Below are 25,483 nucleotides of genomic sequence, written 5' to 3'. Positions count from 1 at the left end.
CAGAACGAAGCCAAACTGGACACTTTACACTTCAGCATCTAAAAATAAAACCTACCACGATACCTCTCTGTTCACCTCCTCCTGGCATCCCTGCATTTGGAGAACTTTTAGATTTTAAGACATTGAGAAAGACTCTGCAAAAACAGGAAGCCAAGCCACTTGGCTGGCTTTTCAAAATCAGCTGGGCTTCTGTGCGCAGGATCTCCAGGCTGCTGGGCCCTGGGAGCTGGGGGTGTTTGCAGTCCTCTGGGTTCAGGTGCTGGTGACTGAAGAGGACACACGTCCCCTTGCTGCCAGCCGTCTTCCTGTGTTTCCTGTGTCTGGTCCCTGAGGGGCGTCTCCCGTTCTGTGCAGCCACCCAGGGATGATGTGGTGTTAAGTACCCTTTTGAGGTGGGGAAACTGAGGCTCAGAATGCTGTGCTTTCTCTTGGGGATTTCAGCTGGCCGTGGTGGAGTTGGGATTTGAGTGCAGGTCTGTCTGTCTCAAAAGCCTGTGGCCCATGGTTTTCTGCTGAACGGTCTCCTCTGCATGTTCATAGGTTCTCCATTTACTAAATGCTTCTGTTCCTCTTATTACCTGGACTTTGGCTGCTATCTAAAAAAAAGGATGTTGGGGCCAAGGGTCAGGACTCAAGACTGCAAAACGCTGGTGACCGGAGGTCGGTTGGTCATGGGAGTTGTTTCTCTTCCTGTTATTTAATGGCAACAGTAACAGTCCTTTTATTGAGGACTCCAGTGTACCAGGCATCATGGGTTTACTTTAAGGAAGCATTTGTGTGTAACCTTCCCGAGGTGGGTGTGGGAGCATATTTAAGAAAGTGGATTTTGCAGATCTCAGTGTCCTCAGGTGCCTGTGCTGGAGGCTGAGGAGCTCGGGAGCCCTTCTTCCCTGCCACCCCTGTGCCTCTTCACCTCGTTCCTCCTCCCACCTCTGCAGAGGATTGTGCACTCTGTGAGGCGCAGGGCCGCCTGGGGTCAGGTTCCTGTCTGTGTGACCTTGGGCCAGTTGCTTAACGACGCTGTGTCTTTCTGCTCATCTGTAAAATGGGGATAATCATGGTGCTGGTCCCCTGGCACCATTGTGAGGACTGAGTTACTTTGGGTGAAGTAATTGGCACTGGGCCTGGCACACTGGAAGCTGGCTGTCTGCAGGAGAACTGTACACTATCCACAGGCAGACCTGACCGAGTGTGAGACCTCAGGGCATAAAACCCTCCTGGTGGTCAAGTACAGTGGCCAGTCATTGTCATCCTGGGGCCAGGGAGGTATTTCCAGTTCCCTGCTTGCAGCAAAATTCAAAGAGTACCTGATGGTGTCGTCAGCTGATAGCACATTAAGAATGACCTTTGTTTTGGGTGGCTGAGGTGGGTGGATTGCTTGAGCTCATGAGTTTGAGATCTGCCTGGGCAACATGGCAAAACCTCGTCTGAGGGTTCCCCCCCAACCACAAATACAAAAAATTAGTTGGGTGTGGTGGTGTATGACCGCTTGGGGCTGAGGTGGGAGGATCACTTGAACCCAGGAGGTCGAGGCTGCAGTGAACTGAGATCGTGCCACTGCACTTCAGCCTGGGTGACAAAGTAAGACACTGTCTCAAAAAAAAAAAAAAAAAGAATAATATTTGATAAGAGATGACTAGATTACTGTAATTCTTGGCAAATAATTATAAAGGAATCCAAAGAATTTGCTGTGGTAAATCTCTTTCCATTCTATTTTTTAAATTTGAATAAGTGGTTTCTGTTCTCACATCTGTAAAAATTAAAAAATGGAGATGAAATTGATAAACCCTGTCTTATTCTAGCAACAGGCAATATTCATCTGAGAATTCATGAAATAATTTTTCAAAAAATTCCCATTCATTGTATAGATGTATTTTTAATAAGATTTATTTATTAAATTTTACTTATTTAATTTTTTTTTTTTTTGAGATGGAGTCTCGCTCTTGTCGCCCAGGCTGGAGTGCAGAGGCATGATCTTGGCCCACTGCAACCTCCGCCTCCCAGGTTCAAGCGATTTTCCTGCCTCAGCCTCCCAAGTAGCTGAGGTTACAGGTGCCTGCCACCATGCCCAGCTAATTTTTTTTTTTTTTTTTTTTTAAGTAGAGATGGGGTTTCACCAGTTGACCAGGCTGGTCTTGAACTGCTGACCTCAGGTGATCTGCCCACCTCGGCCTCCCAAAGTGCTGGGATTACAGGCGTGAACCACTGCGCCTGGCCTAATTAAGTTTATTTTTAAAGGTTATTTCTTATACAATTTTGCAATATATTTCTGTCTTATTGATCAATTGTATACTTATAGTAATTGTTATAATAATTCAGTCCAGGAGAAAACTTCTGACAGAGCTTTATGATCACAGGAAATCACAGGAAATTAAAAAAAATTAAAACATTGATTTTTGTATTTTTTGGCCCTATAGTATATAATAGGATAATCAGTATAAGGCTTTCAAGCATAAAATACACTGTGATAGTATAAACATCTCTGAGGGAGATCAGAGTTTGTGGAGGAAAAAAGGAACACTGTTAAATTTCCAATGGTTAAAGAAGAGCTTGATTATGTAATTTAAAAATGGATGATGGCGAATCTCTAATCGCCGTGGTATTTAGATACCATTGGATCCATTTAAAAGAGAAACATTAACAGTTTTATTTTTAAATGTTAATATTTACAGTATGTTGGAAATTACATCCTCTACAAGTATTTAGACTTATGATGAGAAATTTTTCATATCAACTTAAAAATGTGCAAATAGATATGTAGTTTTAAACATTTATTTTGTGGGGGTTTGGTTTGAAGTCCACTGCTTCAGAACATTACCCTGTTTACTTCTCAGAACCAGGCCTGAGGCAAATCCTTCCTCGGAGAGGGACAGCACGAGGCCTTGCTCTCAGGCTGTCCAGAGGCCCTGATGGGGCTGGGCTGGACTGGGCTGACTCTGGGGCCCAGAACTGTGCTCCGAGACTTGCTTGGCAGTGGACTTGTCTGCAGACCTGGTCTGTTGGGCCACGTGATGATGATCATGAAAGACACAGCACTGTCTGCTCAGGGCTGCTCAGGCAGGAAAGGAAGTTGCAGGGGAGCCAGGACCCAGGTAGCTCAGAAGAAGAGGATGTCCTACTTTGTGTTTAGAGCAGGGAGTTGGGCTGCAGGACAAGGGAAGAGTGTAGTAAGGGTCGTGGGACCAGATGCTCTCTACCTCCTGTCTTGAGAGGCTACTTGTCATGATGGTGATGGTGGCAAGTGCCTGTTTCCTCAGCCCCGTGCTCTGTAGTATGGTAATGGGAATGCTGGACGCACGGGCCACCCTGACTCCACCATTTCAGTGTTGAGTTGGTCTCACTGAGTGCTGAGCTGAGGGCCCCTCATAGCCAGGCCGTGCAGATGGGACGCAGTAACATGCAGCAGTTTCCCCGACACTTGCTATGGATAGGCCCCAGGTGCTGGGGGCTCACACAGGCCCAAGCCAGGCCCCTTCAACTCTCTGTGATGTCTGCAGACAGTGGCCAAGGTAGGCAGGGACACCAGACAGGCACAGAGGAGGGCCCTCACGCAGCCTGGTAAATCAGGAAGGCTCCCTGGAAGACGAGTCTGGTTAGTGGCAATGAGCCCATCTACCCAACAGATCCTAACTGAGAGGCAAGGCCTGACAGAGCTCAACCCAGTTCCTAGGTCCTTGTGCTTCCTTCTAAAACACCTAGTTGCTAAAATGACCAAGTGCCAAGCACGGCACTATGATTACTTCCCCCGTACACAGGAGCCTTGGTCGTCTGTGATCTGGGGAGTGGGGCTGGGGCTCTCCTGTGGGCCAGGCAGAAGGCCTGCATCAGCCTTGCTAGGTGCTGTCACCTGGGGGCACCTTCCACTCCGATCCAATCTGTGGGGAAGGCTCAGGAGGAGCGGTTTCCCCATCCAGGGACTCACTGCCTCTTTCTGGAATAGTCCTGAATTTGGTGGAGGAAGACCCTGAAAGAAAGACCCACCTGCTGCCGGGCCCCCTCCAGCCTGGACGTCCTTAGGGAAGCATGTTTTGCAGCCTGACCTCTGCCCTGGCCTGTTCTCTGGGCTGCCTTTCCCCAGTTACTGTAAAAGATCGGGGAGAAGGTGACTGCTGGCATGAGGGGACTCGAGGTTTGACTTTAAAGTGCGAATGAGCAAGCTGTAAGTGTGAGAAGTGCAGCAGCCAGTTAGAGATTCACTGTCCTCCATCCACATTCCTTGAGAATTCAGACACTATGAAACCCAGTCTCTGGTGCGGCGGCTGTTTCTCAAGCAGGCAAGGAAGTAAGTAAGTTCTCCCGGCTTGCGAATGAGTGAATGGTGGGCATACGTCTTTCTGTCCGTGTTTTCTCCAGAGCTGGTGCTGGCTGGCTTGCTGGTGACCTTTGTATATGTGTTTTTACCCCTTCCTGCACCAGACTTTCAGGGAAGGAGGTTGGGTGGGTGACCATCAAACCACCAAGAAAAGGCAAGTCTGAGAAAGAGACACTAAGACCCAAGGGAAGGTCCATGTGCCTGGGGCCGAGGCAGAACTGGGTGCTGGGCCTCTGGAGGCGAAGGAACTGTGGGGATGCCCACTGGCAGGGAAACCGTGGGGATGCCCAAGCCCAGGGGCAGGGCAGGCCTGTCTGAGCTGTGGGGGAGTGGTGAGGACGCAAGGCTGGGCATGTAAGGAGGAGTGGGCCATCAGGGGATGGAGGCCATACCTCCTGACATGGAATAAACTGGGCGTAGGGGCTGGCAGGAGGCGAGGTGTTAGAATGGCCTTACAGACAAGGAGCATGGCCAGGGCCACACACAGCAGCTGGGGAAGGGGGTCCTTTGGCTGCCAATGGCTTGGAAAGGCTACAGCCCCAGGCTTGAGGGGGCTAGTGAGAGACCAGGCTGGAGAGAGTAGCGGTGCCAGGTGAGTTGTTCATGGGGTGCTGTGTCGGGGGCATGGAGGGGCTTCTGCAGGCGAAAGCTGGGTGCTCCAACCTGAGGCTATGGGGGAAGAGCCATGGGGAGGATACATGGAGGGTGATTAGACAGGGCTGCACTGGAAAGCAGACAGCAGGGTTTTCTGAGAGGGGCTGTGGCTGCAGCCTAGTGAGGGGTGATGTGCTCTCCAGGGGCTCCTGCAGTGACAGAGGGCAGCAGGAGACAGATGGCAGGGTGTGGTACCTGGGTAGATGTGGGAGGTGAGAGGGGGAGGATCAGTCCCCAGACTCCTCCCTTGTTTCTGGCCGGAGTGCCTGGGCATGGGGGTGCAGGAGGAGCAGCCGCCAGGGAGGGAAAGCCCATGCCAGCACTGGCGCTTTCCGATAGGTGTGCTGAGTGCAGGCAGCGGAGGCCTGTGTTGGTAGCTGCTCTCGGAATTCAGAGCCAGAGGGGACTCACGTGGTTGCGTGGTGTGCATCTCTGGAAGGATTATAGGTGCTAAATTCTCCATCTCAGCATTAAAAATGTACTTGTTATTTAGGTTATATTTTTACATGGTACCAACATTTTTTTAAAAGGTATGCTGAACACAGTGTCAAATGATCAATCCACAGCGGGGTTCCCTCTGCCACCCATACTCTCCAGCGTACCCCAGCTGGCTGACCCCGGTGCTCTTGATGGATTTTATTTCCAGGTCACTGGGGCATAGGTAGGGGTGGACACCTGTGAACATCCTTCCTTCTGTCGATTTTCTCTGCCGTGTGCTGTGGAGCCAAGCGTAAAGGGCTTTGGGAATAACAATCGCTGTGGGGTTCTGACGTCTTTGGAGCTGGGACAGCCCATGGTAGACTTGCGGTCCACCCATATCCTGGGCAGTGGCTTTCTGAAGTTCACGTGAGCCTGACTCTGACCTCTCCCCAGACCCCATCATCTCCAAGGAGGACCGCCACGGGCTTGGGGGGCTGGCTCTGCACACAGTGTTTCCATGTGGTCATTTGAGGCCAGTAATGGACACAGATTGCTCTTGGCTGTGCCTCACTTCCCTGTGGGGTCCAGAGACCTGGGTTTGAGTTTCTGAGTCTGTTTCCTGGCTGTGGATCTTTTCCTTCCTCTTTAAAGGGATGACAGCGCACAGGATTGAAGACACCTAAGAGATGCTGAAGGAATATTAATTGATTTTTACTCATCTGTTGTTATGATTAATGGTGGCATTTCAGTGGGGAAAATACAGCTACAGATGAAACTGGGCTGTTGAGAAAGATACATTGTTTCAGTGTGGAGAATATAGTATTTTTTTTTTTTTTTTGCCTCCCCTCTGTATCACTTTTGGGTTTCTAACAATTGTGGATTCCAGCTTACTCCTTCCTTTTTTAAAAGATAGATTTTATGGTTTTTTTAAAAAATTTGAAATGCAGGTATTTTTTTCCCCCTAAACATTGACAATTATTTTCATTCTCCATCATTTACTATTTGCTTAGGCTATGTAGATAACAAATAAGACAAAGTTATGTGAAAGCATGATCCCCATAGTGTTTTTTAATAATGATGATACATGAGGTGCTGGGAAGGGTTATATAAATGAGGTCTGCTCATAGCAGTTCTCCAATGTGGCCATTAAAAAAAAATCACATTTTTCACATTTTGGAAGACAGCGTGGGGAAATGCTCGTGAGTTGCTTTGAGTACTGTCGTCATACTCTGAGTGGTTTCATTTCTATCCGTTTTATTTTGGTTCCTGAGCTTTTTAGGTTTGCTGTTAGAAATAGAAGCTGTCACCGTGTTGCAGTCTTGTGCAGCTTCCGAAGCCTGTGGCACTCAGTTCTAGGGTGATTCTTTCTCCAGCCTTTGATGCACTGAGTCAATTTGAGCAAATCCTTTAAAAAAAAAAAAAAGTTCCCACATCCCATGTCAAGACAACAGAGCTCTGCCAGGGCAGGTGGGGCTCCCTGTGCTCCAGGGTGCCTGGGTGCCTTCTTGCAGGCAGGCTTCCAGAACCCCAGGCCCTCCTCACCACACCACGCAGGGTTGGGACTGGATCTCCCTGGTACCTGCCACCCTTGCTTGGCTGTCAAATGTCAAGAATTCCGTGGCCTCAGTGGAGCGTGCCAGGTAAGCATTTTACGTAAAAGCAAAGAAAAGAGATGGAATGAAGTACACAGGGGAAATAGGAAGGGATGGAACGGGGGTTTTAGAAAGGGCCAGAAGCAAGATTCTGCTCTTAAAGTAGCTGACTGTCCTGGCATTCTGGGGTGAAGGTATCCATAGCATTGCTACTCAGAGTGTGATCCTAGGGAATCTGGGTGCAGATGGAGAAACTCGGATGCAAACACTGGATTCCTCAGCAGTCGGTTCCCGTTTGGCCTGGTGCAGGGCTGAGACTCTGAGGAGGAGGCATCTTGACCTGAGGGCCCTGGACTGTGCTCCTTGTCCAGCTGGGCGCAGAACCATCGTAGTCAAAGCCAGGAATGGAGATGCATTGCCTCAGGTCAGTTCCAAAGACCAGGAAGCGTCCCTGAGTATTTCAGTTGAGTAAGGACCTGGCATCTCCCTCTTCAGCCCCTTCCCTGCTCTCATATTTTTATTCATGCTTTTAGAACTGCTAAATGTCAGGTGGGTGCAGTGGCTCACACCTGTAATCCCAGCACTTTGGGAGGCCGAGGCGGGTGGATCATGAGGTCAGGAGATCGAGACCATCCTGGCTAACACGGTGAAACCCTGTCTCTACTAAAAATACAAAAAATTAGCTGGGCGTGGTGGCAGGTGCCTGTAGTCCCAGCTACTCAGGAGGCTGAGGCAGGAGAATGGCGCGAACGCGGGAGGCGGAGCTTGCAGTGAGCCGAGATCGCGCCACTGAACTCTAGCCTGTGACAGAGCAAGACTCCGTCTCAAAAAAAAAAAAAAAAAGAATTGCTAAATGTCACCTTGGCAGTGACACCTACCCTGCTTTCCCAGCAGACGCCTCTGCCCCCTACACACACACACACACACACATACACACACACACATGCACGCGCACACACGCACGCACACCAAGCTGAGCTGCCTGTTGGTGTGTCCTCCTGAGGCTGGGACTTGCTGGTCTCTGAGGAGCACGTGGTCTGGCCCTGATGTGCGCTGTGTCTACTGGGTGAGTGAATTAAGGACTGAGGTATTGTGCTACACAGGATGTGGCCAGGCCTCGAGGGTCTGTGCTTGCTAAAAATAACTCTAGATTATTCTTTTGCTCATTAAGTAATATGTACTTGTGGAAATCTTGGGAAGTCAAGATAGGCTCACAAATGAAAACCCAGAGATAATTATTGAAGCAATTTTTACATAAAATATGCTCCTTTTTCTATATGATGTGCATTCAGGTTAGGCTTTTCTGTGTCCCTAGTTTTGCCACTTGCATTTGGGGGAACAGTTGAGCATTTGCCTGTGCCATTTAAACACCTTGGAAATTGCTGTTAGAGTGGCTGCACCAGCTTCCCACCATCCCTATGTCCCAGCATCTAGAACCATTTCTCTGCTCCAGAGTCTCAAGTTCTAGGTTATTTCTGGTTTGCTGTTACTAACAGTCCTGCCCTGGGTGTCTCTGGACCTAAATCTTTGGGGACCTAAGTCACATCTCAGGCTGTTTCATTGGGTTATGGTCTAGAAGTGACTTCAGGATTTTGTTGCTAAAGAAGAAGGGGAGAATGGGGGACAGGTTGGGCTGCAGCTAGTCAGCTGTGTCCAGCACACTTGGGCCCTGGACTTAGAACTGGACAGGTTACTTGCCCCCTCTAAGCCTCAGTTTATTCTTCTGTAAAATGGAAATAATAATGGACCCAGTCTCATAGAGTTCCAGGAGTGAGGTCATGCAGATAAGGAACAGCACAGAACCTGTTTACCTAGTTTGTCCTCAGAAGGAGCTGTTTGTGATTATTTACTGGTGCCACCTCCACCACCATCATTGTCATCCTCAGTGGCCCAGGGAAGCGTGAGTCTGAATGAGGTGTGTTGTGTAGTTAAATGATGCGATGGGTAGATGAGCCAAAATGAAAGGATCTCTTCTGTTTGATTTATTTTCATGAGTAAAAAAGCCAGAAATGTCTGTAGCATAAGTTATGTCTGTTTGGTTTGGCTAAAGCAGGGCTGACCAGGGATGAGTCTCCTGCTGTGAGTGAGTGAGGTCCCAGCTTGTCCTCTGGGGTTAGAGCAGATTTTGCTCTGGCTGGGGTGCATTTGGGGGCATGGGCTGATTTATGTTTTCCTTCTTTCTGGATCTCCCCAGGTCTAGCCATGATGGGGTGAAGGCATCACCCCCAGGGAGTGCTGACCCCTGACCCTAGCCCCATGACCCCCTCCCGTGCTAGTTCATTATGGGCAGGGGAGGTCCCAGGGATTCCCCGCACACTCATCGTGACTTTTCCAAAAGCTGTGTAAATCCAGAGTTGTAACTTGGCTCTGTCTTTCTCCTTCCCCTTGATCCACCCTCAGCTCAAGAACTCCCCTGGGAAGCACAGTGGCTCCCGTCTTTGCCTCAAGTTCTCTGATGTTCTGCACAAATGGTAGGCAGAGACAGCCCTTTCAGGGACCTGATTGCCCTGGTGTCTAGTTCTCCTTTCACAGGCCTGTTTTCCAGCTCGACTGTCAATCTGAGTCTTTCTCTTTTTGAGCTTTATGCAATGGCCTTAGAGTATACCCTATAAGGAGATCCCGGCTTGCTGGTGCCCGGCCCTGCAGCTGTGTCCCAGAAACTTGGCGGTGGTGCATGGGGCTCACTCAGCACTTCTACAGAAGCCGCCTGGGGTGGCTCCCAGGGTTCCGGTGGGAATGGGGTACAGAGGCCTGAGAGGGGGCTTTGATCAGGTGTCCTGGGGGAACATTTAGAGCTCCTGGATTCTCTGCAGGAAGGCCACCAGCAGCCAGGCATGATGGCCTGTGTCTGTAATCCCAACACTTTGAGAGGCCAAGGCAGGAGAATTGCTTGAAGCCTGGAGTTCAAGACCAGCCTGGGCGACATAGTGAGACCCCATCTCTACGAAAATTTTAATTTTTATTTTTTGAGATGGAGTCTCGCTCTGTCGCCCAGGCTGGAGTGCAGTGGCGCGACCTCGGCTCACTGCAAGCTCTGCCTCCCACGTTCACGCCATTCTTCTGCCTCAGCCTCCCAAGTAGCTGGGACTACAGGTGCCCGCCACCACGCCCGGCTAATTTTTTGTATTTTTGGTAGAGACAGGGTTTCACCATGTTAGCCAGGATGGTCTCAATCTCCTGACCTCGTGATCCACCCACCTTGGCCTCCCAAAGTGCTGGGATTACAGGTGTGAGCCACCATGCCCGGCCAATTTTTTTTTTTTAAAGGTCACCAGCCCTGTTGTCTGGGCAGTAAGCACCTAGTAGGATTGCTTCAGAGTTCTAGAATGCGCATGTAAAAATTCCAAAGTGCGTTTGGCGTCTGGGCTGGGCTTCTATGAGCAGCCCAGGCAGCAGCAGTGAGAACTCCTGTGTGTGCCTCGTCTACTGAGTGCCAGGGTTAGTGCCCCACTTGCCAGGTGAGAGGACTGAGGCTCACACAGGTGGGCTTGTCACAGCCTAGCATGTGAGCTGTGGAGCTGGGATTGGATTCTAGAGGTGTGATGGCATAGCCAGTGCCTCTTCTGCTCCGAAGACTGCCTGCCTGGTGAGAGTCCAGTGACTCCTCCCTAGTTCCAGCTCCATCCCTCCAAGGCTGTGCAGTCCTGGGTAGTGGCACAACCTCTCTGAGGCCCATCTACCAGATGGTGATGAGATGGATGATTGAGACGAGGGGAGGGCAAGTGAGAAGGCCTTCTAAAACTCAGGCCCTCGTAGGAGAAGCGTGGGTAGCCTGAGGTCAGGGACAGGGCTTAGTGTGCTGTGTGGGGCTGTGGGGAGTGGGAAGCTCACTGGTTTTCTGGCTCCTGAGATGACTCGAGGGGTCTTGTGAAGCTCACACCCCTGTCTCACTGGGCAGGAGTTTGGCCTCCACTGTGGGTCTCTGCCATCTCAGGTGGGTGGGGGACCAGGGGTCCCTGGGCAGGAGGGTGTGGGTCCTGGCTTGGAGGCAGACCTTGGCTCACTCCCTTCCTTGCCCAGGCAGTATTTTTGCCGCAGGCCCTGCCAAGTAGAAATAAGTTATTTACAGTGTTTTGACAGGATCATCGGCAGCCGGGATGGGCAAGGATGCCTTTGGGACTGAGCTAATGGCCAAGGAGTGGGGCTTGGAGAAGGGTCTGGCGTGGGAGAGAGATGGGAGATGGGGGTGGGGTGGGGGCGCACATTTACTGAACTTGTTAAATCTTGACAAATGCCAGGCCTGGCCCTCCCTTAAGCCAGGGCTTTGGGGCCTGGTGAGGGCAGGACTTGATGAGTTTTCCTGTCGACCAAATATTCCGCCGGATCGCTCAGGACCCTCGGTTATTTTTGCTGTCTGAGCCCTCAGTGCCTTCCTTTGTCCATCAGGGACAAGGACCCCTGCCCACCCAGTATATCTTCTTGGGGAGAAGATGAAACGCCTTGGTGTATGGTAGGCCAGGCCCTGGCCTTGACTGTGAGCCTGGCAGCCCCTGCAGCCCCTCACACTGGGCCACCATTGACCTGCTTTACGACTTCAAATAGCACAGACCTGCCGTGGGACCAGGGCCTCCTGCTAGTGCCTGACCTCTGTCCTGCATGATGTTCTGACCCTCCAGAAGCAGGTTTGAAAGTGCCTTTCAGGAAGGTCTGGAGAGCCTCCTGTGTAGCTTGTGGGAACAAAATGTGTTACTCCCTAGCCGAAGGATAACCAGCACACTAAAATGTGAATAAAGTGTGACTTTATTCATGTCCTTTGAGCATAAAAATGGCACACACACTGATGCATTAAAAAAACTTTTTTTTTTAATTAAACTTTTTTTAGAGATGGGGTTTTGCTCTGTCACTCAGGCTGGAGTGTAGTGGTGCGATCATAGCTTGCTGCAGCTTTGAACTCCTGGGCTCAAGCAATCCTCCCACCTCAGCCTTCTTAGTAGCTGGGACCATGGTGTGCACCAACATCTTTGATGCAGTTTTTTTTTTGAGATGGAATCTCGCTCTGTCGCCCAGGCTGGAGTGCAATGGCTCGATCTTGGCTCGCTGCAACCTCCGCCTCCCAGGTTCAAGCGATTTTCCTGTCTCAGACCCCAGAGTAACTGAGATTACAGGCACGCGCCACCATGCCTGGCTAATTTTTGTATTTTTAGTAGTGATGGGGTTTCACCGTGTTGGCCAGGGTGGTCTTGAACTCCTGACCTCAAGTGATCTGCCCGCCTCGGCTTCTAAAAGTGTTGGGATTACAGGCGCGAGCCACCAGCCTTGACATAGTTGTAAACAAAGTTGTGGTTCTGTTGTAATCTGTTCCCACAAACACACTTAGCATTCTCTTAGAGCTTCCCCCTTTGTTAAATGTCTACTTAGGCTTGCTTTTTAAATGACTGCATAATATTATCTGATTGTAACTGAAGTTCTTTGATTCCCTTGGTTGATGCTGACCATGGTTCTGGTCTGTCACCTTTATAAATAGTATTGTGATAAACATCCACTTTTGATACTGTTTGGGCAAGCCTGTGATGATTATTTCTTTGGGTTACATAAGTAAGTTGTATATATTGTTTTTGTAGTCTGTAGGAGGAATATGTACTTCTTGGTGAAATAAACAAACCCCTGCATTTTGGGGAATTACAGAAAGGGAAGGTCTTGTGGGAGTTTGTGCTTCTAGATTTGAATGCTGTGTTATCACCTGTGCACCAGGCACGCATACAGCAACTCATTTCTCTCTCATGTGCCCTCCCTCCCCTCCTTTCTCACTCCTGCCCCAGACCCACTCTCTCTGCCCATGAGGCTGGGGGCTGTAGCCTAGCCGCAGCTGTGCCCATGGACTTTTCTCCCCTTGCAATTGTTCCTCACCCCAGGGAGAGGAGGAAGGAGTGGTGGGCTCTGGAGGAGGTGGGTGGTCCCCGGGTGGCCTCTGGTCTTGCTTCTTCCCAGCACCGAGGGTGCTTCAGCCTCCTTGCCTGGAAAAAGGGGTTGTCGTAACACCAACCTCTAAGGTTAAGAAGGGTAATTGAGATACAGTGTCAAAGTACTTATCACACAGCCTGGCCCCAGATCTGTGTTGAGGAATCTGCAGCTAGTGGTGGAGGGTTAGGAGTCATTTGGGGAATTGCAGTCCGGAAAGTTAATTTCTGAAGAGTATCAAACACCAGCTTGCATGTTAAGTTGTCTTTTGGAGTGATCCCTCCAGTGATTCCCTAGTGGTATGGAGCCAGTCCAGATTTGGAGTGGAACTTTTGTTGTGGGTGTGGGTCACTGTTCCAGGGAACCCCAGCTACCTGACCTTGAACCAAAATCCTTGTCATTGTGGAGCCTGTGTCCCCCTCTGCCTTGGACTTTTTTACTTTTATCTTCCTAGTTCTCATAATAGCTCTGTGAGATGGGATCTATTTATTATTCTCCCTATTTTGCAGATGAGGAAACTGAGGCTCAGATCTGTCACCTGCTTCTGTGATATTTCTAGTCACAGAGCTCCAAGCACCAATCACTCTGGGTCTTTGAACTCAGATCTGCTGTTGCCTATGGCCTAGGCTCTTTCTACTCTGACTCTTCCATCCCCTGCCCCTTCCCCAGTGCTAACCAGACCTCTCTGGTTCCTCATAAAAACCTCCCGTGGCCTTCCTGAATTTTCCAAGGCTACCACACAATCAGCCCCCTAATACCTTGCAAGCATGGGCCTTTTGCAGCAGAGCAGGGTCCCCTCCATTCCTGAGCTTGTTTCACTGTCCCCATGCTGATACTCGCCTGTTCCAGACTGTGTACCCTCAGCCTGGCCTCTCTCCTGGTCAGGGTGCATGCCTGGCCCACGTAGCCTGGTGGTTCTGTGCTCGTCTCTGTGGCTCAAATTTGCTCCCTGTCTTCTGACCCTGTATGTGTGGTGACCCAGAACGTGTTCCTCTTCATATTAGCCAGGGAGCTTGCAGGAAGCAGAGCTCACCCTCAGTGGTTCAAAGAGAGCCTTGAAAGCAGGGGCTGTTTGTTGAGCTGTGGGCAGGGTTAAGGGAGCAGCGGGGGCTGGTGAGGCACCTAGAGCCTGGCAGCAGAGAGGAGCTGTTCTGCTTCTTGGGCCGCAGGTAAGGTGAAGAAAGTGTCGCAGAAGCTCTGTGATGGTAGTCATAGCAAGCCACAGCCACTGCCCAGGCATGTCACTGAAGCAGGGAGAGAGAGGGGACTAAATACCCCACCCCCCTCCTCCTGCCCTCTGGTCTCCTGCCAGTGACCCCTCTTGGCCAAGTGCAACTGGAAGCCCTGGATCTTGAATGCTGCGTTCTACGGCAGTCAGCCTCCCAGGCTCAGAGCCAGGCAGTGTGGATGGGGGTGAGCAGGGAGTGACCAGCACCCCCCACCCCTGCCTCATGACCTGCACCCCCTCCACCCCTGCCTCGTGACTTGCACCCCCTCCACTCCTGCTTCGGGACCCTCACCCCCTCCACCCCTGCCTCGGGACCCCCACCCCCTCCACCCCTGCCTCGTGACCAGCACCCCCTCCACCCCTGCCTCGTGACCCGCACCCCCTCCACCCCTGCCTCGTGACCCGCACCCCCTCCACCCCTGCCTCGTGACCCGCACCCCCTCCACCCCTGCCTCGTGACCGTGACCCACACCCTCTCCACCCCTGCCTCGTGACCCGCACCCCCTCCACCCCTGCCTCGTGACCCGCACCCCCTCCACCCCTGCCTTGTGACCTGCACCCCCTCCACCCCTGCCTCATGACCAGCACCCTCCCCACCCCTGCCTTGTGACCAGCACCTGCGCCCACCTTGAGACCCGCACCCCCTCCACCCCTGCCTCGTGACCTGCACTCCCTCCGTCCCTGCCTCGGGATCAGCACCCGCCCCCGCCTCGAGACCCATACCACCTCCACCCCTGTCTCGTGACCCACACCCCCCTCCACCCCTGCCTTGTGACCCGCACCCCCTCCCCCCTGCTTAGGACCCGCACCCCCTCCACCCCTGCTTCGTCACCCATACTCCCTCCACCCCTGCCTCATGACCAGCACCCATCCCCGCCTCGAGACCCACACACCCTCCACCCCTGCCTCGAGACCCACACCCCCCTCCACCCCTGCCTCATGATCTGCACCCCCTCCACCCCTGCCTCGTGACCCACACCCCCTCCACCCTTGCCTTGTGACCTGCACCCCCTCCACCCCTGCCTCACGACCTGCACCCCCTCCACCCCCCTCGTGACCAGCACCCGCCCCTGCCTCGAGACCCGCACCCCCTCCACCCCTGCTTCATGATCCGCACCCCCTCCACCCCGCCTCGTGACCCGCACCCCCTCCACCCCTGCCTTATGATCCGCACCCCCTCCACCCCTGCCTCGTGACCCGCACCCCCTCCACCCCGCCTCGTGACCTGCACCCCCTCCACCCCTGCCTCACGACCTGCACCCCCTCCACCCCGCCTTGTGACCCGTACCCCCTCCACCCCACCTTGTGACCAGCACCCGCCCCCGCCTCAAGACCCGCACCCCCTCCACCCTCCCTCGTAACCCGCACCCCGTTCACCCTTGCCTCATGATCCGCACCCCCTCCACCCCTGCCTCGTGACCTGCACCCCCTCCACCCCACCTCATAACCCGCACCCCCTCCACCCCTGCCTCACGACCTGCACCCCCTCCACCCCTGCCTCGTGACCCGCACCCCCTCCACCCTGCCTCGTGACCAGCACCCACCCCCGCCTTGTAACCCGCACCGCTTCCACCCCGCCTCGTGACTCACACCCCCTCCACCCCGCCTCGTGACCCGCACCCCCTCCACCCTGCCTCGTGACCCGCACCCCCTCCACCCCGCCTCGTGACCCGCACCCCCTCAACCCCTGCCTCGTGACCCGCACCCCCTCCACCCCTGTGTTGCGACCTACACCCCCTCCACCCCTGCCTTATGACCCTGTGGACCTCAAGGCAGAGCAGCAATGTGTCCCGTGGCCTCTGTGAGAGCGGACCCAGTTCTTCTGTCCCTACCCAGAGTCCCGCATGGCCACTCTGGCTTCGACCTTCCAGACTGGCCCTCCCAGATGCCCCTGTGGCCATCACCCCATGGCTCATTTCTGTCATCAATTTATGATTGATCCTTTAAGGGAGCTGATGGGCTTGCAGGCCCAGGGCCCTAACAGGGGCTCAGCCCTTCATTCCTTCTGTTGCTGGGTGCTCACCCAGGCCCCAGTGGCAGGTCCCCTGCTGCCCTCTAGGGACTCTAAGATGACCAAGTCTTTGACCTCTTCTGCGTCAGTAGCTCAGGGAGACAGACAACCATGGGGCCGCCTGGGAAGATCGGGCCAGGGAGCTGGGGAGGGCTCTCGCCGAGCTGATGGGTTTCTCCCACCTGTCAGTAGGTAGCCCCTTGAGAGACAGCATGTGGTGATGCCAGAATCGTGGGTCATGATCCTTTTTCTCTCCATCAAGGTGCCTAGCGCCACCAAGCATGGTGAGAATGACCAGGAGGGTGCCTGGTGGGTGAGCCCTGAGTCGTGTGGCCCCCATGGGAGAGCATGAAGCCACGGCTGCCTGTGCTGCAGGCTGGGGCCGCAGGAGACTGGGGTCCCTGCTGGTTCTGCCTCTCCTCCCTGCATGGCCTCGGCCGGGCTCTGCTTCTTTCTCTGTCTGACAGCTGATAGGATCTCATGGGTCCCGTTTCACTCTCACCTTCTGTAAATCCCTGATTCTTCAGAAAACGGGGCTAGAAAATCTCCCAGGTGTACTCGCACGTCTGTTTCCTTTCTTAGCCTTTCATCTTGAAGTCAGCTTGGTGAGGTTGCCCTGTTCATACTGCAGAATCCAGGGATCTGAGGCCTCTCGCCCCCTGGGCAGCAAGTGAGTAGGAGTGAGCAAGTGTGTGTGAGTGAGTGAATGTGTGAGTGAGTGTGCATGTGGGAGAATTTGTCGATCTGCTTGAAGCAGGCTCTTTGGGTGCTGTTTCAGCAGGACAGATTTCGAGAGAACACAGCTAGCTCTCCACGTTGGACCTCGCCTGGGTGCAGTGTTTCTGTGTATAGCAAATGCACACATGGCTGCCTGTGTATGCGTGGTGGATTTGGAGTCTGGGTGATGGGTTTGCACGCTGCCTCTGACCTTGACCAGCCTTGTGACCCTGGGGAGTCACTGTGCTCTGGGCAAGTCGCCTGTGAGGCTCATAATCCTGACAGCATTACTCATCCTCGGCCTATGGTCTCCCGGGTGGCATTTGGGAGCACCCAGAGGGTGAGCCAGGCGCTTTCTAAGCTGTAAAAGTGCCCTGTGATGTGAGCAGTTATGTGATGTGCTCTCCCAGCAGCACCCAGTTTTGGAGGCTCAGGAAGCATTCCCAGCAGGGCCTGTTTTTAGCCTTGAAACATCATGCTTGAAAAATGCTTGCATGGGGTTTATTTAACTTTAAGTGGGGCAAATTCTGAAATGGGTTGTTTATTGTCCAAGTTGAATTTTTAATTTCTCATAAATTCCCCACAAATTGCTATAGTACATCTTTATTTGTTGAATCTGTCAGAGTTGTTTATGGCACTGAAGCCTGGGCTCCCCCTGTTTGTGGACTGTTGCCATGGCAACACCAGGCTCTGGAGGAGGGGCACTGCTCTGAGGTGGTATAGAAGGTTCTGGAATGGGCTGGTGGTGTGAAGTAGAGCTGTGGCTGCTGCACTGAGACCCAGCCGTGGGTGGACTGAGCTGCTTAAGACCCTGGTTCCTCTTCAACATCACTGCACCCCTCTTGGTCCCTCTTCCCTTGGGGGTGCACTGCTGAGGTCTCCTAATTCTGCTTCCCTAAGCCCTTGCTGCTCCCAGTGTGGTCTGGGAACCAGTGGCAGCTGCACTGATGGGGCGCCCATGAAAAATGCAGACTCCCTTGCCCCCAGACCTGCTGAGTCAGTCTGCAGTTCACCAAGCTTTCAGGCACCTTCTCAGCATGGGTAAGCTGCAGAAGCCCTCACATGCCACACTGCCCTTGGGTGACCCCAGAGGCCTTGGCCTGGCGGTTCTTGGTGTTTGCCACCGTCCTCCCTGTGATCTTTCTGACTCCTTCCCCGACAGTTCCCTCTGCTTGGCCAGGAGTGGGCTTTGCCTCTCAACCCTGCTGCACCCAGGCCACTCTCCTGCTTTGCACACACCAGTCTCTACTCACACAGTCACCCCAGCCTTCTCTATCTGGGGAACTCTGGACATCTTGGAAGAGGCAACTCTTGAGACACCTCCTCTGTGAAGCCCTCCCTCCTTTCCCCAGACCGGGTGATGTTCAGTTTCACTGGAGCTCTCCTGTGGCCTAAACACCTCACCTGCCCCAGCCTCATCAGGCTGCCTGATTCACCTCCCTAGCCGTGACCTCACTGGGTGCCCCGGCTGCTCCTCCCGTCTGCTGGGTGCTCAGACCCCAGCCAGCGCTCAGGAAGGTCTGTGGAGTCATTGCCACTCCAGTCAGCTGGCTTCACAAGGCTGAGACTTGAGTCTGGACTTCTTCCAAGAGCCTGTACTCTCTGCCCGGGGAGTGGTAGGGACCGCTGGGCACCTTCAGTTTCTACCTGAGGCCTGACTGGCAGTTGGGGCTAGGACCGGATAAGGATGGGTCCTTGGACTTTGGAAAGGCGCTGTGGGAGGGAGGCATGGGAGGGGACAGCTGAGAGGAGTCCCGAGCTCATGCGCAGGTGAGTGCAGAAGTTCAGGTGGCATTTGTATGTCCCTTGAGTATCTGTTCTGGGCCAGGCAGCACCGAGGCTCGGGAGAGTCCCAGTAAACAAACCCCAAATCCCTCTGCCTTCGTGGAGCACTTGTGTCTAGGTTGAGAGACTGAAAACAGAAAGAAGTGTGGGTGGCGAGTGAGGTGGGGGAGGGGGACTGGGAGAAAAATGAAGGAGAGTAAGGGGCTGAGGGCTGGTGTGGGATTTGGGAACATGGCTTGGTTAAAGCTGAGGAGATGCTGACCCTTTGGCCCTGCAAATCCTCCATGGCATGTACCCAAGAGAAAGGAGGGCTGTGTCCACCAAAAGACACGTGTAGAATGAATGTTCCCAGCAGCAGCATTCCTGATGGCCTCAAAGAGGAGACAGCACGCATGCCCATTGGCTGTAGAATGGGTACGTACATGACCTGTGTTATCATCTGGCCATGGAGTTGTATCGAATACAGCAGTGAGAATGAACCATGGATGAGTCCCATAGGCATGAAACGTGGCCAAAGATGCCAGGTGCAGAGGCGTATTCAGTGTCTGATTCCATTTACATGAAGATCTTGACCAGGCCAAGCTACTCTCTGGGGACAGGAGGCAGGCTGGCGGTCACCTTTGGGGACAAGGTGCCGGGTGGGAATGTGAGGAGCCTGCTGGTGTCTTGCAACTGTCCTCTCCTCAGTCTTCCTCTTGGGTGCCAGTTTGTGAAATATTCAAGCTGTTCACTTATGGCATGTCCTTCCTTTCTTATGTTATACTTCAGTGAAAGGCTTATAAAAGAAAGAAACAGAAGGGGAAAAAAGCCATGAGAGGCAGAGAGAGTGCTGTTTTCTGTAATATATGCCCTTAGATTCTCTAGAACATTGGTTCTCAAGCCACCGTACATATCAGGACATGGCCACCGCCCCTCCTGAAGCTCTCCTTGCCAGGAGTGATGCAGGCTCCGAGGATGAACCACCTGGTGAGAAGCCAGTAGCCCCAGCGGCATCTTTCTTGCTCTTCACTGGACTGGAGCCTCTCTGTAATCAAGGGAGTACATGTTCTGTACCCCCTGGCCCAGTGTCTAGTTAGAATAGACAGTGAGCATTTACAGATTGAATGGTTTTTTGTTTTTTTCCCAATGGTTTTAGCTTGTCTTTGGGAATATAGGGTCTGTTTCTGGGCATGGAGAAACAGGGTTCCCTCCTGTGCTTTAAGTCTAACCTCCAAGCCAGAGAGGTGGTACTGGCAGGAGATAAGACCACCCGTTGTCTGGATGCTGTTTTCCATGCAGCAGACATGGGCTCCAGTTTCTGTCAATCAGTTTATTAAAACCTGCGTTTATTACTTGTTTGCCCTGTGCCAGGCACTGGGCTGTGTCTTAGTCCAGCCCCACAGTACCCTGTTTACAGATGACGTCAAAGCAGCTACACGTGGGTGACTGGCTCGGTTCACTTGCTAGAAGTGGGGACTCTACCTCTAAGTGGGGTGAATCCCAGGCTAGCACTTGACCCACTGACAGGGTGGAGGGGATGTGGGGAAAGAAGATGTTCAGTCAGGGTTGGATGCATGAAGTGCTGGGTGGGCTGCCAGGAAGTGCTTCTAAGCCTTTGCTCTTCGCTTCCTTCCCCGACCCCATCTCTCCCTACTTCAGTCTGACTTCCCTCCATCTAGAATCTTCCCAGATGACTCCACAACTGGGTAGTTTTACCTGCTGTTTCTGAAGCCTGGCTGTCCCGTCTACCTCCCAAACATCAGCCCAGGCTCCAGAGACTACTGGAATCACAGTCACCTGGGAGATTGATTTTTAATAGACTCTATTTTAGAGCAGTTTTGGGTTCACAGCAAAATTGAGAGGAAGGTGCAGAGACTTCCCGTATCTGCCCTACCCTGACACACATGCAGCCCCCCTTACTGTCAACATCCCACGCTAGCCTGGAACATTTGCTACAATCAGTGAACCTCCCTGGGTGCATCAGGATCACCTGAAGTCCCCAGTGTGCATAGGGCTCACTCTTGGTGTTGCACATTCTGTGGGTTTGGACACATGCATAGTGACCTGCATCTACCATTACCATACCATACAGAGCAGCTTCACTACCGTGAAAGTCCTCTGCACCGCCTGTTCTTTTTAAAGCACTTCTAAAAAGAAGTGCTGATGGGGTGGCATCAATTATATCCAGATCTCTGGGGCAGCTCTTGAGCACTGGCTGTCATGAGGCCCCCAGGACAACAGGCAGCCGGGAGAGGGGCGGGTGGGGAACCACTGGATTGAAGTAATGGTTCTCAAACTGGAGTGTGCACTGGAACCCCCAGGGAGCACATCTTCAAACAGGTGGCTGGCCCCATTCCCAGGGTCTCTGAACCAGTAGGTCTGAGGGGGCTGAGAATCCACATCTGTAACAGGTATCCAGGTGATGTTGACCCTGCTTGTGAGCCCCTCTGTCTGAGAACCACTGGTTTTTTTTTATTATTATTTTTTATTTTATTTTTATTTTTTATTATACTTTAAGTTTTAGGGTACATGTGCACAACATGCAGGTTTGTTACATATGTATACATGTGCCATGTTGGTGTGCTGCACCCATTAACTCGTCATTTAACATTAGGTATATCTCCTAATGCTATCCCTCCCCCTTCCCCCCTCCCCCCACCCCACAATAGGTCCTGGTGTGTGATGTTCCCCTTCCTGTGTCCATGTGGAGAACCACTGGTTTTAAACAGTGGTGACGAAAGGTGTGGTTGGGCCAGATGTGCCTGCTCAGAAAGCCACCAGAGCGCTTTCCAAGTCTTTGGGGCATCTGGGAGATTGTGCCCGGCCCCTTTCCCAGTTCTGAGTGAGGGACTGAACCCTGGGATGGGAGATGTAGGGCTGTTTCCTGTACCACCAGCCCCTTGGGGACCTGGGTTTGGAGGGAGGGTGGTGGTGCGGGCAGGTATTATATTGAATATAGAGTGAGCCAGAAGGCCGGTGAGGCTTGGGGGCGAACTTCCAGCCCACTGAGTCACTCTCAGGCCGTCTCTGGCCCCACTGAAGGATCTCCCGTCCCCCTACCCCACTGGGGGTTCCTTTGGCCCTCACAGAAGGACAGATAAGGCCCCCAGGGTAAGAACAACCCAGACCAGGCCTCCCTGGGTCAGAGAGTCAGCCAGGGCCTGGTATCGAGACTTAGACCTTGGAGAGCTTGGGATTATGGGAGAATCAGGCTGTTCTTCAGACAACAGGCCGCCCTAGATGCCTGGCGTCTGTTGTAATAAAAGACCTTTAGTGGAAACTAAGTCTGTTGCCTTTGGCCTCCTAGGAGCCCAGCAATAAAATCAGTGTAAATAGAGCTAACATTTGGGAGTGGTTTATAAAGCACTTGAAAAAAATCCCTCATATAAACCCAAAGACAGTCCTACAAGCTGCAGGGACAATTAATTATCCTACCTTTTGGATATGGAAATTGAAGTTGAGAAAGGTTAAATAACTTGCCCATGGTCACAGATCTTTTAAATGGCAGAGCTGGGATTTGGCCTGGGGACTCTGCCACCCAAATCTCTGTGCTTTCTGCTGTCTTATTCCCCTTCCACCACGTGGCCCCTCCAGGCAGAGATGAAGGCGCTCCCCTGGTGCAAGCTCCAGCTACAAAAGGGTGAAGATGGTGGTGCCCTCAGAGTGGAATGTGCTGGAATTTCTCACAACAGAGTTGTTCTTGAAATAGGTACTTATTCTTGGCATTTCTTAGCCAAAAACTGCAGAGGTGAGTACCCCATAGCCATAACAGTGGCAGGGATTAGGGAGTGAGTTAGCGTTACAATGGAAGGGCTTCCGCCCAATCTGCTGTCTTCCATTCCCCATGCTGAGACATTTGGAGGCACAGGGTGGTTTCCGGTCTCATTGAATTGGCTTTCACGCTTGGCTATGAGGCACCCCTAGGGGTTCCTTGAAGGGGTACCTGCTTTTCAAGGGGGATGAGTTGCTCACCACTCCCTTCACCTGAGCAGCTCTTTCTTTTTTTTTTTTTTCTTTTGAGACAGAGTTTCATCCATCACCCAGGCTGGAGTGCAGTGGCATGATCTGGACTCACTGCAATCTCCGCCTCCCAGGCTCAAGCGATTCCCCTGCCTCAGCCACCTGAATAGCTGGGATTACAGGCATGCGCCACCAAGCCTGCCTGGTTTTTGTATTTTTAGGAGAGACAGGGTTTCACTATGTTGCCCAGGCTGGTCTCAAACTCCTGAGTTCAAGCGATCCGCCCGCCTTGGCCTTCCAAAGTGCAGGGATTACAGGTGTGAGCCACCTTTCCCAGCCACTCTCTCTTGATCTGTGTTTGATCTGGGGTCTGCATGTTAGATTTCATTTCAGGAAAGACATTTGAGGTCAGAGAGAGTTTGAAAACCATGGTGTCTGGGGCAGAATCCTGGGATATTCAGCTCCCCCATGCCTGGGAAATTGAGGCATGTGTATGTGCAGAGAGCTGTGGGCCTGCCAGGTGCGTGATGACTGTTGGCTGTCAGGTCCTGGGGGTGGAGTGTGGCCATCACCGTTTGATTGGTTCCTTGTCCGTCAGGTGTCCTTCTGAGTGCCCAGGCAGGCCGGGCCCTGTGCTGAGCACTGGGCACATAGCTGAGAGCAAAACTGCCACATCCCGGTCCTTAAGGAGCTTCCAGTTTAGTGGGAAGACAGAATCTGTCTTGGATGGACTTTGAGTCTCTTCCAGCACCGCAAGGCGTGTTTATTAAAGAGCTGGGCATTGGACTCGCCTGCACAGGTACCTCTGCCAGCTCTGCTTGCTGATGGGCCAGTGACACTCACTTCCTCCCCCACACGTGTGGGCCTACCCGATGCTGGCGACTGGAGGTCTCGGTAGGTCAGCCATGGGGTCACTGAGGTCCCGTGACTTGGCTCCCTGGGTCTCTAACCATTCCTCACCTGACCCCATCTCTCCAGAATTACTCTTGTGGACCCCCCTCACATCCAGGGCTTGGATTTGTCACCTTTCTGGGTGGAGAGAATAAAGGGAGGAAACACGAACTGAGGTGGGGTGCAGGAGCCAAGGCAGGCCCTCAAAGTGTGCATCGATGCCTTCAAAAGCCAGCTGCAGTATTCGGCCACCTGCGATCCCTGGGTGCCCGCCATCAGCCCTTGCTCCTCTCTCTTGCCTTGGATAGGACAGAAGTTGACACTTGGGGGCTCTTGGAGAACCATTTGGAGCACGTGGAACTCAAGAGTGAATCACTTATTTTTTGCTGTGTGGCAGCAGGGCCTCCCTAGACAGGACATATTCGGGGGCTTGCAGCCAGGTAGGGGAGTGGAAGTACCTCCTCTCACCCCACACACGGGAATTGGAGATGAGGCAGCCGATCCTGCCTGCTTGAGTCTCAGCTGTCATTTTCCAGGCTGGCAGCACCAGCAGGAGAACCCGTGTGTCCGCCGGGCTTTCTTTAAAATGCACCGAGTGCAACCCAGTCCTCCTTGTGTAAACTTTCTCCAACTGGCCAGATGGTTTGCTTCTATTTAAGGCAGTGAGAGTATTTCCTACGGCCTGCTGCCCCCTGGCCTTTGTTTTGCCCCGGGAAGGCCATTCCTCGAAAGGGAAGCTGAGCAGGAGTTGCACTTCCCAGCAGCAGGGATTGTCGGCGCCCACCCCCATGGCAGGCCTAGAACCTTTGCCAAGTGCCTCTGCCTGGAGGGACCGTGTTTGTAACTTGACTCCCTCTGTCCCTTCCAAATCTGCTTGTGCTGTGTTTTCTTAGATGGTCATGAAGGTCTCCCCCCATCTCCCACCCCAGCTGCCAGCCCGGTGCCTCTGTCCCTCCACATCCACATCTTTTCTGTTTCCAGGTTCTGTTGATTTTTCCCTCTGGATATTTCCTTACCCACCCCCCACCCCCGTCCTTCTGTTCTGTGACCCCGGTCAGTCTCCCAGTCCCCCTTACCCATTATTGCCAAGCCTCTGGCTGGCATCCCCAGCTCTGGGCTCTCCCACCCTCAGTCCAGCCCCCACCTGGCAGAATGATCTTTCATCGAGAATATCTGAGTCACTCCACTGATCTAACCTTTCCTGGCCTTTCATTGTCTTTAGGTTAAAGTCTAAGCCCTGGAGAATGGTTTATGAGGCCCTTCCCAGTTTGGTCCTGCCAGCCAGGCAGCCTCACCCCCTGCCATTCCCAACTCAGACACCAGCAACACCTGCGCACTCTCTCCCTGCCTCTGCACTTGCTGGTCCGACCTACTCCAGCCAGATGTCACTTGCTGGCAGAAGCATTCCTGGCTTCCCCTCTGTCCCCTCACCTCCTCTGAGCCGACTGTGTTTACCTGTGGGCTCCTCGCAGGCACTCACCTTGGTACTTAGCACAGAGCCCTGCATGCAGGAGGCCTTCCACACAGGATTCTTGTGTATTGCTGACTTTCCCCCCAGGTCTACCTAGAAGCCACAGAAGGGGTTTTGTAGGGCTTTTAAAGGGCAAATGGAATCTGTTATTCTTTAGTATCATTAATATCTGCAAAGTTTCCTTCTCAGCAGATCTTCACTTCTCATTGTCTACACTGTCCCTTTTCCTCTGGGTGGCAGTGATGATTGGCCTGAGCCTGTTATGAGATGCTTCATTCCCAGCCTCCCTTGCAGTGGGGGTGCCCATGTTATGTGCACTTCTAACCAGTAAGACATGACTGGAGAGAGTGTTTCTTTTTTTTGAGACAGAGTCTTGCCCTGTCGTCCAGGCTGGAGTGCAGTGGTGTGACCTCGGCTCACTGCAACCTCTGGCTCCTGGGTTCAAGCAGTTCTTGTGCCTCAGTCTCCTGAGTAGCTGGGATTACAGGTGTGTGCCACCATATCTGGGTAACTTTTGTATTTTTAGTAGAGATGGGGTTTCATGGTGTTGGCCAGGCTGGTCTCG

The 25,483-nt window shown here is 52.8% G+C and overlaps 1 protein-coding gene and 1 long non-coding RNA gene across 5 annotated transcripts in view, besides 3 other annotated features; one reads left to right on the top strand and one right to left on the bottom strand.

Annotated features, from left to right (window-relative positions):
- The window catches only part of ITPK1 (inositol-tetrakisphosphate 1-kinase), a 179,012-nt gene that overhangs the window by 41,697 nt on the left and 111,832 nt on the right, over nt 1–25,483 (top strand). The window lies entirely within an intron of this gene.
- On the bottom strand, nt 2,077–6,777 carry ITPK1-AS1 (ITPK1 antisense RNA 1). Its single transcript, NR_002808.2, has one exon. It is a non-coding gene; the product is annotated as an ITPK1 antisense RNA 1 (long non-coding RNA).
- Nucleotides 17,328–18,015: an enhancer, noted in NCBI's record as "H3K27ac-H3K4me1 hESC enhancer chr14:93522559-93523246 (GRCh37/hg19 assembly coordinates)". NCBI's record gives its function as "activates a minimal SCP1, AML or CMV promoter by ChIP-STARR-seq in primed H9 embryonic stem cells {active_cell/tissue: H9 hESC(primed)}" and the evidence as "EXISTENCE:reporter gene assay evidence [ECO:0000049][PMID:30033119]".
- Nucleotides 23,402–24,029: an enhancer, noted in NCBI's record as "H3K27ac-H3K4me1 hESC enhancer chr14:93516545-93517172 (GRCh37/hg19 assembly coordinates)". NCBI's record gives its function as "activates a minimal SCP1, AML or CMV promoter by ChIP-STARR-seq in naive H9 embryonic stem cells {active_cell/tissue: H9 hESC(naive)}" and the evidence as "EXISTENCE:reporter gene assay evidence [ECO:0000049][PMID:30033119]".
- Nucleotides 24,657–25,284: an enhancer, noted in NCBI's record as "H3K4me1 hESC enhancer chr14:93515290-93515917 (GRCh37/hg19 assembly coordinates)". NCBI's record gives its function as "activates a minimal SCP1, AML or CMV promoter by ChIP-STARR-seq in naive H9 embryonic stem cells {active_cell/tissue: H9 hESC(naive)}" and the evidence as "EXISTENCE:reporter gene assay evidence [ECO:0000049][PMID:30033119]".

The sequence above is a fragment of the Homo sapiens genome, chromosome 14 (assembly GCF_000001405.40).
Source record: "Homo sapiens chromosome 14, GRCh38.p14 Primary Assembly".
NCBI lineage: Eukaryota > Metazoa > Chordata > Mammalia > Primates > Hominidae > Homo > Homo sapiens.
This window is presented reverse-complemented; position numbering and strand designations above follow the sequence as displayed.